General features: G+C 39.9%; 1 protein-coding gene and 1 long non-coding RNA gene across 3 annotated transcripts in view; one reads left to right on the forward strand and one right to left on the reverse strand.

Annotated features, from left to right (window-relative positions):
• GUCY2C (guanylate cyclase 2C) overlaps positions 1-12383 on the reverse strand; it is an 83968-nt gene that overhangs the window by 49548 nt on the left and 22037 nt on the right. For both annotated transcript variants that reach the window (XM_011520631.3, NM_004963.4), the window contains exons 9-10: positions 10694-10779; positions 7543-7654 (exon numbers count right to left, since the gene is read on the reverse strand). In XM_011520631.3, coding sequence (XP_011518933.1) covers positions 7543-7654; positions 10694-10779 — 198 coding nt within the window. The remainder of the gene's footprint in view (positions 1-7542; positions 7655-10693; positions 10780-12383) is intronic.
• The window catches only part of GUCY2C-AS1 (GUCY2C antisense RNA 1), a 70584-nt gene continuing 61657 nt past the window's right edge, over positions 3457-12383 (forward strand). The window contains exons 1-4 of the long non-coding RNA NR_186173.1: positions 3457-3518; positions 3680-3834; positions 5850-5967; positions 10087-10135. This is a non-coding gene — a long non-coding RNA (GUCY2C antisense RNA 1). The remainder of the gene's footprint in view (positions 3519-3679; positions 3835-5849; positions 5968-10086; positions 10136-12383) is intronic.

Consider the following 12383-nt stretch of genomic DNA (forward strand, 5'->3'; position numbering starts at 1 on the left):
TGGTGAAGAAGACATGTTTCTTTATACAGCAAGGAAAGAAAAGAGAAATCCAATCAGGAATTCTAAGGAAAAAATGTTCAAGGAAGGCATAATCCAAAAATGAAACAAAGTAAAATGTGCCCTGACTTTGAGAATTAGGTATTAAAAAAGGAGAGAAAATCAATTTTCCTTTGTGGTACAAAAGGGAGACATTGGGGCTATATAGAAAGATGTTGGCCGGGTGCGGTGGCTCATACCTGTAATCCCAGCACTTTGGGGGGGCTGAGGGGCCGATCACCTGAGGTCAGGAGATCAAGACCAGCCTAGCCAACATGGCAAAACCCCATCTCTACTAAAAATACAAAAAATTATCTGGCCGTGGTGGTGGGTGCCTGTAATCCCAGCTATTCGGGAGGCTGAAGCAGGAGAATCGCTTGAACCCGGGAGGTGGAGGTTGTAGTGAGCCAAGATTGCACCACTGCTCTCCAGCCTGGGCGACACAATGAGACTCCGTCTCAAAAAAAAAAAAAAAAAAAGAAAGATGTTATCACGGTATACAATTTAGCTTTATATAAATAATATTCACATAATGAAAATGTTTCCTTGTTTTCAACTTATAGAATCAAGTTATAGGTAAAGAACAGAGGTCTTTATTTTGGTTACCAAATAAATATTATCAACCCTGGCAAAGAAAAATATAGGAGAATTTTGGAGATGGGAAGGAGGTAGAAGAAAGAATTGTGGCACTAACATCTTCATCTTACAAAGTGGGAGGCAAGATATTTTATATACAATTGATAGGACAACACTAGAAGCTCATGCATATTAATTAAAATGAAAAAGGTGTTCAATAATTGTACCGACAAAAAAGATATAACTATATGGGAAGAAGTGAGAAAGAGGGCTAGCGAAGATGAGCTAAATCTTCATGTATCAATACAAAAAATTAATAGATAACTGCTAAAGCTTATAAATCAAGAAATAGAAGCATATTATTTAGATATGCAAAACAGTAAAAGCAGAAGTGACTGAGAGAGCAGAGATGCACAGAGGTGGGATCAGGTGCATTCACTTTCCATTATGAACACATCTGCTACTGGATTTTAAAATCATGTGTGTGAATTTTTCTTTTTATTTTTCTGAGACAGAGTTTTGCTCTTTTTGCCCAGGCTGGCATGCAATGGCACGATCTCGGCTCACCGCAACCTCCACCCTCCAGGTTCAAAGATTCTCCTGCCTCAGCCTCCCAAGTATCTGGGATTACAGGCGCACGCCACCATGTCCAGCTAATTTTTTGTATTTTTAGTAGAGGTGGGGTTTCATCACGTTGGCCAGGCTGGTCTCGAACTCCTGACCTCAGGTGATCAGCCCACCTTGGTCTCCCAAAGTGCTGGGATTACAGGCGTGAGCCACTGTGCCCAGCCATGTGTGAATTTTTCTGTGCTAAAATATAATTGATGTAGGTGCCCCGAAAATGAGGTTTTAGGACTTCTTTATGAAAGCAGAATCCTAAACCTTCACACTGTATTCTCTATCATGACACCATAATCTAAACTCCTGGGGGCACAGTCCATGTCCTACTTATTCATTCCTGTTCATCCTTACACCTTTGGCACCCAGCACAAGACCTGGTAAAGTATCAATAAAAATGGCTAATAAAAAATAATAGAAGAAAAACCTGGCCCTGGTCATCTTATTGCCTGAGAAGAGGCAAGGAGAAGGTGCTTGGACATTAAAATACATAAATAAATTCATATAGAAAGACTCCTGTGCCATTAGGGGTCTCATGTCATATGTATTTTAAAACTGTTTTTGTTTAATCATATTATGTCCTTCTGAAGTAGATGGTTTAGCTTGGGGTAAACACTACAGCTCCTTTGTATAAGGGCTGAATTTGAAGGGTTTATGCTTTGCAGACATGTGACTTTGCCTCTATTACCTTGTTTTGTGTTCATGGGAAATTTTCAATGGTGAAAATGTGAACTTTGGATTTCTACTCTCATCGGGGCAGAAATAAATTCATACTTTGGAGTTGAACTTGCATTATGGGCACATTTAACTGGTGAATTCTGTTTGTTACTACAATCACCACTTCCATCACTATCACCACTATTGCCACTCCCACCATTCTCACGCCCTAAACCCCAGAAAACGAAAGTGAGTACAAGAAATACATTTTCAACAGTGTAGATAATCCCACTCACTGGTCTATCAAAATTGCACATCCCCTAGACTAGAGTATAAACTGGAGGGAATATGGGGACTCCTCAGCCCACCTCAATTCTCTGCCTCCTACAGTATGAACATCTCACTGTATTAGATATAATTATAATATTTATATATAGTATTTAAATATACTATTTAAATGTAGTCATTTTTAATTAAACATGCTTTTCAGTTTTGCCTTTTAGATAAACGCAGTATCAAGTTCTAAATTCCAAGGTTAAGCTTCTGCTGCCTTCTGGTGGCTGCTGTAGTTATCACATTCTATTTAACTCATCTCACAATGAATGAGAGTTTATAACCTCAAGGTCATATGATATTACGGTTGGAAGGAACCTGATAAACTTCTTGATTTAACAGGGGAAGAAACTCACACTTAGAAAAGAGAAATAAATTGACTGAAATTAACAGAGTATAGATGAGTGCTGGAGTCCAGAGTAGAAATATATTCAGTTATCTCATGTTGTCATTCATTCATTCATTCATTCATTCATTTATTCATTCCAAGGCACTGTGTTGGGGCAAGGAAATATGAATAAGAATAAGCCCTGAGGGGGCGCGGTGTCTCACACCTGTAATCCCAGCACTTTGGGAAGCCAAGGCGGGTGGATCACGAGGTCAGGAGTTCGAGACCAGCCTGGCCAACATGGTGAAACCCCGTCTCCACTAAAAACATAAAAATTAGCCGGCCGCGGTGGCAGGTGCCTGTAATCAGTTCCAGCTACTTGGAAGGCTGAGGCAGGAGAATCTCTTGAACCTGGGAGGCGGAAGTTGCAGTGAGCCGAGATTGGGCCACTGCACTCCAGGCCGGGCAACACTGCGAGGCTCCGTCTCAGGAAAAAAAAAAAAAAAAAAAGCTAAGGAAAGTTGAGATTCCGGTTAAATCTTGAGGATGAGTAGATGTTTCCCACCTCTATGGAGAAGTGATAAATTCTATTCCGAGGGAGTAGCATAAATAAGGACACAGCGGCATAAATTTGCATGACGCTTTAAGGAAGTAGGGAGGAAGCTGAGAGCATGGGGAAGGGATAGGTGAGTAAAAGATAAGTAGGGAGATTACGGGCACTTTGTGCTGTATTAAGTAACTTGGACTGTATTCTGTAGGTAAAGCAGAGTTGCCAATTGACATGTTAGCAACAGTGCAGTGACATGATTGGACTTGTGCTTTCTTTCTGATAGCAGGATGGGTTGGATGGAAGTGGGCAGGACTAATGCAGGAAGTCAGTTTGACGTCATTTTTGTGATACAGGAAGCAGATGCTGAGGACTTGGATGAGGACGGGCACCAAATCTGCATTGTCCATTGCTATTTCCCAGGTGCTCAGAACATTGTCTGGCATTAAATAAATATCTTTGTTAAATAAATGAAAGAACAGGGATGGTGTAATCTCTTGGTGAAATGTTTTGTTACTTAGTAGCTGTGTACACACAGATGCAAGTTCCAGTCATGCATATCGTATTTCTATACTATTTCAAAGGTTGAGTTGCTGAAGCGGCTTCATTGTCTGGGGACATACCCAAGGTTCGTCATCGCGTGACGAGAAGATTAAGGACACAGACGCAAACACGGAGCGGGTCAAGTAGCGGAAAGTTTAATAGGCAGGAAAGAAGAGAACAGCTCACCGGTAGAGAGGTAGGAGGGCTCTGAAGGGAAAAAACCATGCTTGTGGTGGGAAGCAGTAGGTTATATAGGGAGGCTTCAGGAGGCGGTGTCTGATTTATATAGGGCCCAGGGGATTGGTTTGACCAGTGTGCCATTTACATAGCCCTGAAGAAACTGGCCCTCTCACCCTAATCTTTTATTATGCAAATGCGGCCTCTACCTGGCTGGCGCCATGACACCCACACATGTGGCTTTACCCGGCCGGCACAATGACACCCCCACACATGGCTACAAAGAAAAGGGAGGGGAAATCGCTATATTGGGTGGACCTGGCTTTTAGTACAGCTGCGGGCATTCATCTACGCAAGCTTCCAGCTTGCTTATTTATGCTTGCAGTTCAGCTTTTCAGGCTGCTTTTTGCTAGAAAAGAAATGGTTTGGAGACTGTTTTCAATTAAAAGAAAATGCCTGGCTGGGCGCCGTGGCTCATGCCTGTAATCTCAGAACTTTGGGAGGCCGAGGCAGGCGGATCACGTGAGGTCAGGAGTTCCAGACCAGCCAGCCCAACATGGCGAAACCCCGTCTCTACTAAAAATACAAAAATTAGCCGGGCGTGGCGGCAAACACCTGTAATTCCAGCTACTCGGGAGGCTGAGGCAGGAGAATCGCTTGAATCCGGGAGGCAGAGGTTGCAGTGAGCCAAGATTGCACCACTGTACTCCAGCCTGGGTGATACAGCCAGACAATGTCTCCAAAAAAAAAAAAAAAGAGTAAGAAAAGAAAAGAAAAAGCCTTACTGAGGACTCCTGTACCCTCGCTACCTGCCTAAATAATTTCTTTTTAACTCCTATATTATTGCTTCATTGGTAAAGTTTAGAGCTAAATGTAGTAAGTAACAGTTAAGTATTGAAAAGCTCTGGCTAACTGAGGTTGTTAGTTAACTGAGGCTGAAGTAAAGTTGCTCAGGATAATATAACGTCCCTGTAGGATATAGTATGAATATTTAATGTTCACTTTAGGAACACTTTTACACTGTTGGTGGGACTGTAAACTAGTTCAACCATTGAGGAAGTCAGTTCTCTTTAAGTAAAGAGAACTCTCTCAAAAAGTACTTTTTGAGAAGTTCAGCACTTTAGAAATCACAGACCTATTGAATAACCAAAATACCAAAAAACTTGAAGGAAATACATTAAAAACACAAACCTAACTTTGTCACTGACAGTTATAATTAAGAAGAAAGAAAAAATAATTTGAACTCAAAAAGTTACAAAAGAAGTTGAGAGTTGCAGAAGCCCATGAGAAAAGAGATATATTTCAGAAGTCAAGTTTGGTTTAAAACTAGAAAGCTTGAAGATGGTTCCAGAAAGTTTTAAAAGCTTATTAAATAAAACTCGACTTTAAAAAGCAATCATAGCAATAAATCTGAAGTCAGCTCAGGATTGCTTATTGTCTAGAAGAATGCCATCTTCATTCCCCCCTCCCTCATTTCGTTAATCAGCTGCTAATACCTGTTGGATAAAAGTACAGGAATCATTTTGGACTTAATTTGACTCATGGAGTGAAAGAAAACTAGAAACGCAGGTATAGCTCTGACACAAGCAAGCCCTTCAAACCAGAAATGTTCCCTTTATATCAGATCAAATTTTCAGAGTTTCTGGCTGTAGAGCGGGGCTGGTATAAAAATATTTGTAGCTTATAATTTTTAATACTTTTTGAAAATAAGAAACTAATACAGAGTCATTGTGGAAATTTTGGAAAATTCAGAAAAATAGAATAAAGCAAAAAAAATCTTGCAGGATCCCATCAGTCAGAGGACACCACTCTTAACAGTTTAACATATTTCTTTCCAGTCTTATTTCTATGCATTGTTTTACAAAGTTAGAATCTCATTAAATAAGAAGCTGTACTTTTCTATTACTTTACATCATAAGTTTTCCCATGTCATTTAACATTCTTCATAAATAATTATTTTTAATTGGTTGCCTGATGCTCCATTTGTGAATATATAATAATTTTCTTTTTTTTTTTTTTTTTTTTTTGAGGCAGGGTCTTGCTCTGTCATCCAGGCTGGAGTGCAGTGGCACAATCATGGCTCACTGCAGCCCCAACTTACTGGGCTCAAGTGATCCTCCCACCTCAGCCTCCTGAGTAGCTGGGACCACAGGTATGCACCTCTATGTCCACTAATTTATATATATATATTTTTGAGACGGAGTCTTGCTCTGTTCCCCAGGCTGGAGTGCAGTGGCGTGATCTTGGCTTACAACAACCTCTGCCTCCTGGGTTCAAGCGATTCTCCTGCCTCAGCCTCCTGAGTAGCTAGGATTATAGGCACGCACCATCATGCCCAGCTAATTTTTGTATTTTTAGTAGAAACGGAGTTTCACCATGTTGGTCAGGCTGGTCTCGAACTGCTGACCTCGTTATCCACCCACTTCAGCCTCCCAAAGTGCTGGGATTACAGGCGTGAGCCACCACTCCCAGCCTTAATTTATAAATGTTTGTAGAGATGGGATCTCACTGTGTTGCCCAGGCTATCTTGAACTTCTGGCCTCAAGCAATCCTCCCACCTCAGTCTCCCAAAGTGCTGGGATTACAGGCATGAGCCACCACGCTTGGCTCTAAATAATTTTATTGATGGTATTTCTACTTTTTTTTTTTTTTTTAAATCTTTGGGCTAAATATCTGTCCAGATTTAAGACTTTTTCTTAAAGATTTTTCCTAGTCACATGGAATTACCACTCATTATGGCAAGCCCTGGCCAAGCCAGTCATGGACAGATTGTCCTGAGGCCTCGTTGCCCAGGAGATCCTGAGTGGCCCTGCCTGCTGCTGATGGTGAGTGTGCAGCTTGCACGGGTGAAAGCTGGCCAAGTCATGTTAGGGCTATTCATGACATGATAGGACCTAATCTTAAGTAGGTGGGTAACTATCATTGCAACCCAAATATGTGTCCAGTATGGGAACAGGGGAGACTGTAAAGGCCAGGATCACTGGTCACCCCTCAGCCTGATATGTCAAGTATTTCTTGCTGAAATACACAACCTTTTAGCTTATTGCAGTAAAATGTAAATGGAGTAAGAATATATGTCTCTGTGCTCATTTTTGCCAGTTGTCAAACCCGGTTTTCTGTGGAATAATTTATGTCAAATGGTAGGACATATTTTAAAGATAGGTATAGCTAAATTAGAATAAGAATGTTTTCTTTCTTTCCTTTTTTTTCTTTTTCTTTTTTTTTTTTTGAGACAGGATCTCACTCTGTTGCCCAGCTGGAGTGCAGTAGAACAAAGATAGCTCATTGCAGCCTCAACTTCCTGGGCTCAACTGGTCCTCCTACCTCAGCCTCCCAAGTAGCTGGGAACACGGCTGTGTGCCACTATGCCTGGGTAATTTTTTTTTTTTTTTAGTATTTTTGGTAGAGACAGAGTTTCACCATGTTGCCCAGGCTGGTCTGAAACTTTTAGGCTTAAGCAGTCTTCCTGCCTTGGCCTCCCAAAGTGCTGGGATTACAGGCATAAGCCACCATGCCTGGCCAGAAATCACTGTTGAATCAGAACTATAATATCATTCATTGTGCAGGGAAGTAAGGACCACATTTACAAACTGGACAGCAGGAAATCAAACTGGGACAGCAGACAAAACACAGCAAAAAGCACAGGCTAATTACATAAACAATAGACTTTACTTTTCTTACCAGGAAAACAGTGTCAGGGAGAGAAAATTCATTAGGGATATCTTACCCCGGCCTGTAATATCATTAGGAAGTTTAGAGTTCTTCCAAGTGAATGTGGGGCTCATATCCACAGGATAGGTCTTATTTACGTGGGTATCATAGGTCAAAAGAACCTTGTACTGTGTCAGGGCACAAAAAAGAAAAAGGATGAACAGTAAAACATTATAGAACAAATTATGGTGAGATTAATGATTCTACACAATGACGCTTGATTTCCATAACAATTCTCAGTGAAAAAAGGCAACTGTTAACCAGCTAGTTAGGATCATTTATTGATTCCCAGCATGAACACAGATATAACTTCAGATGGACCGATTAGTTTCCTATTTCTTTATGCTCATACACTACACCATTAACTCCTGTCTGTCCAGCACAGATTCTGTGGGCCTTTAGTGAATCAGTTCAAGTATTTCATTTTTCAAATGTTAAACTAGAGGCTAAGAAATATTAAATGGCTAGCTCCAAGTCACATGATAAATGAAAGACTAGTGTTTTCCACAATATTAAGTTGCTTTTGAAAAAAGCTCTCAAGAAAATGCAGCAGAGCTAAAATCCATTATGTCATTTTGATACATATCAAGGGGCCCTGAAATAACTACATTTCTTAACTTCTATCCATTACTTAATTTTCTAATCTCTTCTATTCCTTGGCTCTAATATGCTTTTCTTGTACATGACATTAATTAGTTTCTAAAATAAAAGATTTCATTTTCAAGTCATTTGCCAATGGAAATATTAATATATCCTTAAATTACTGCTGCATATATTGAGTCAATTTTGTAAGGGAGATCTGAAAGATGACTGATATGGTTTGGCTGTGTCCCCACCAAAATCTCAACTTGAATTGTATCTCCCAGACTTCCCACGTGTTGTAGGAGGGACCCAGGAGAGGTAATTGAATCATGGGACCGGTCTTTCCCCTGCTATTCTCGTGGTAGTGAATAAGTCTCACGAGATCTGATGGTTTTATAAGAGGTTTCCCCTTTCACTTGGCTCTCATTCTCTCTTGCCTGCTACCATGTAAGATGTGCCTTTCACCTTCCACCATGATTGCGAGGCCTCCCCAGCCTCGCTGGGGAGTCCATGAAACCTCTGAAAAAAATTTTTTTTTTCTCTTTTTTTTGGGGAAGAAAAGGAGGTTTAATTTGACTTACAGTTCCACATGACTGGGGAGGTCTCATAATCATGGTGGAGGGTGAAAGGCACTTCTTACATGGTGGCAGCAAGAGAGAATGAGAAAGAAGCAAAAGTGGAAACCCCTGATAAACCCGTAAGATCTCGTGATACTTATTCACTATCACGAGACTAGCATGGGAAAGACCAGCCCCCGTGATTCAATTACCTCCCCTGGTCCCTCCCACAACACGTGGGAATTCTGGGAGATACAATTCAAGTTGAGATTTCGGTGGGGACACAGCCAAACTATATCAGTGACCATCCTTTTAAATTTACCAGTGTACCCTCAAAATGTTCTGGACAGCAAAGTTATATTTTCTTTCTGCAACCTCTGCCTCCCAGGTTCAAATGACTCTCCTGTCTCAGCCTCCCAAGTAGCTGGAATTACAGGCATGCACCACCATGCCCGGCTAATTTTTGTATTTTTAGTAGAGACAGGGTTTTACCGCGTTGGCCAGGCTGGTCTCAAACTCTTGACCTCAAGTGATCCGCCTGCCTCGGCCTCCAAAAGTGCTGGGAATACAGGGGTGAGCCACTGCACCCTGCCCAATGTTACATTTTCATAACTTTACTCTTTCTTTCTTTTTCCTTTATGTTAGGATGTGGCATATTGAATCTCTGTTGAGACCTATCCTGGATATAGATTATCATCCCTTTAACCTTACATTTTGAGAAGATCTCTGATTTTCCCAAATATACATGTTATATAGCACAACCGATGGTACTACATTATTGAAAAATTCACCCGAATTTGCTTATAGAGAGAATAAATGCACAGAGCAACATTTTCCATTTTGAAGTATAGTTATGAGACTGACATTAGATCTCACACGTTTCTGCCTCTCTCTGTGAAGATCATGGGCATCATCCCAGATGCAAATAACTCAGAGAGGAATGCATGTACCTTTGTAATCGCTATTAGTAACTGAAGTATTGATGGGATCTTATGTTAAGGTATTCTTACGGAATGTATGCGAAACATAACATTATATTGAAGGTTCAATATAGTATCTAGAAACTACGAATTACATTTATGGAATGCTGCTAGCAAATTTCTGGTTTAGCTTTCTCAACGTGGACATCTTTTCTCTAGCTTTTCACATTTTCCATTGCAGATATCTTTTACAAAGCTGGGTTGATGTACACATTTAGTATATGACTTAGACTGTCATAACACTCACATTGGAAAATGAAAAAAAAATGAATAAATTTTATGTTATGTCAGGACCTGACCTCCTATATAAACCTTTTTACTGACCACTTGGTTGGCTGGAACAGTGGCTTTTATAGTTTGGATGGATACAACATTGGATGACATGAAGACAGGTGTTTTTTTTGTTTTGTTTTTGTTTGTTTGTGATTAAATGCTGACCAGCCGTCAATGGTGTGCCAGATAAGAAGCTATGCACTGAAAAGATGGAGAGGTGAGTAGACCACTTATTTTCTTTAAAGAACCTACTATTGGGTGAGGAAAAAAAAGTGAATATAATATGAATAAAAGCATAGCATTACAGGGCTGTTTATGTGGGGCTCAGGTTTACACATTTAATGATTTTCCTGAGAGTTCAAATGGAGATAACAGGGAATATTTCATTGAAATCTTTAGTTGTGAAAATGAGTAAACAATTCTTAGGAAAGACTTGTGATCCTCTCATTGGTATCCCATCAATAGTCTTTTTGTTATATTATGTAATTTATTCTGGGTGGATATTTAAAATATCTATACCTATCTATATGGATATTGATATAGAGGTATAGATATATTAATAGTAAATACAGTGGATATTCTGAGTAAGAAGTTTTATGGGTCAAAATGCTTAAGGAATACTACCCTAAGTGGGGCGTAATTGTGAAGTTGAAATGAACTGTCTTCAGATCCTAAACATAATTTCTCTAATTCTTTTGCTAGTGCTCCTCTTCCAAGTTACCCCTCCTCACCCAGTCACAGCACCCTGAATTTTCTGATAAGCAGTGAGACATACTTTCTTGGTGTCCACAGAGGTATACAGAAGCACCATGGTACTGTCAACATCCCCCCAGTCATCCAAGGTCACTGGACCGTCATACCCTAGGGCAAGATCAGAGTATGTTAGAGGCCATTCTTGATTTTTGCCTGACAGATAAGTTGGATCATGACAGAGAGTGTAAAATGGGTTCAAATAGCTCTGTTTCAAATTTACTGAAAACATTGTTGACATTAATAGTCTAATCAGATGGCACCTGGATTGGCTTCTTAGCCCAGAGATCTCTGGAGGGCATTTTTATGGGAGATGTATTTATTTAGAAAAAGCAAAAAACCTTTTCATTGCATTTAGGGTGGCACTAAATGTAATGAGTCAATAAGTCCCTCGATTATTAGTGACACATTTTTGCTAAGAATATTTCCTGAACTCCTAGCATAGTGTATAGGGTCACTGCACAATCTTAACATAGATTGTAGGAAGATCAAAATTTTTTCACTGTCACTCATTTGCTGAAGACATTGAATAAAATTACTTAAGTTTTCTGAGTTTCAGTTTTGTCATCTATTAAATAGCAATATAAGATAAAACTATTTAGGTAAAAAAAAGTGATCAAATTAGTAACTTCACATGTTTCGACATAACAATGAACATTTATTTCCTGTTTACAATATACCAGGCTCTGTGCTAAGTGATTTATATGCATTATCATATTATTCTTCCTGAAATATCATGATATAGAAACTATTATTATCTCCGTTATATTGGTGAGAAATAATTTATTTAGTCAGAGATATTAAGGGTCGTACGGCTGGTAGGTGGCGGGAACAAACATTTGTTTGTTTCCTAGTTAAATGTTAAGCCAAATGTTAAGCCTGTGCTAATCCATTAAAATGCTCAACCGTGGTCATGGAAGTGAGGAAATTAAGAGTGCATATAAAGTGCCTGGTAGAACTTGGGACACATGGGATGACCAACAAATTACTGTGTCTCCCTCCCTGCATCTTCAGTGAAGCAGAAGTGATCTCTTCCTGCCATTGTCATACACCATAGCCCCTGGTGCAGCCCTCAGTCCTAATGCTGGGCACCTGCTGCCCTCCGAAGCCTACAGAGAAAGTCACTTACACTGCAGTAAAACAAAGGTTTCATAGAGTAAGACTCTGAGGCAAGTTAGAAAAGGCCACTGTCATTTATCTTTGACTTAGTATACATTACATTTAGAGGAAAATTTCTTCATAGTCTCAGGATGAGATCTGGGAAACGAAAGATGGGAGTTTCACTAGGGGCTTGTAGGAAAGGGCAACATTGATCCATGCAGCTCAGGAGGTTTGTGTTGTTTTGGAGGGTATTATTTTGTGGAGTTTTGATAGCTAAAGGTTTTAACACAGGGTCCCAGATCCTTGAAGGATAGAAAAGGAGATATGGAAGGACCCAAATCAAACTGCAAATGTTTATCCTCTTGTTAGTCTCCAAGCACAGTCAGGACATTACTGCTCAAAATGCCTTATGATGAGCTTGTTCATAAGTACAGAACCTGCGCTACCTGCCCTTTTCTGTGACATCCAAAGATTCTAAAAGACTGAAACATAAACCGGAGTTCAGTTATCAATAACAGCACCCTCAAAGTTTATGTAATGATGTTTGCATCCAGTTGAGTTCAAAGGGATTTAGCTGTGGAATCATCTATTGCTAAACCTTCTTTGTTGCCCCA

The sequence above is a fragment of the Homo sapiens genome, chromosome 12, assembly GCF_000001405.40.
Source record: "Homo sapiens chromosome 12, GRCh38.p14 Primary Assembly".
Lineage (NCBI taxonomy): Eukaryota > Metazoa > Chordata > Mammalia > Primates > Hominidae > Homo > Homo sapiens.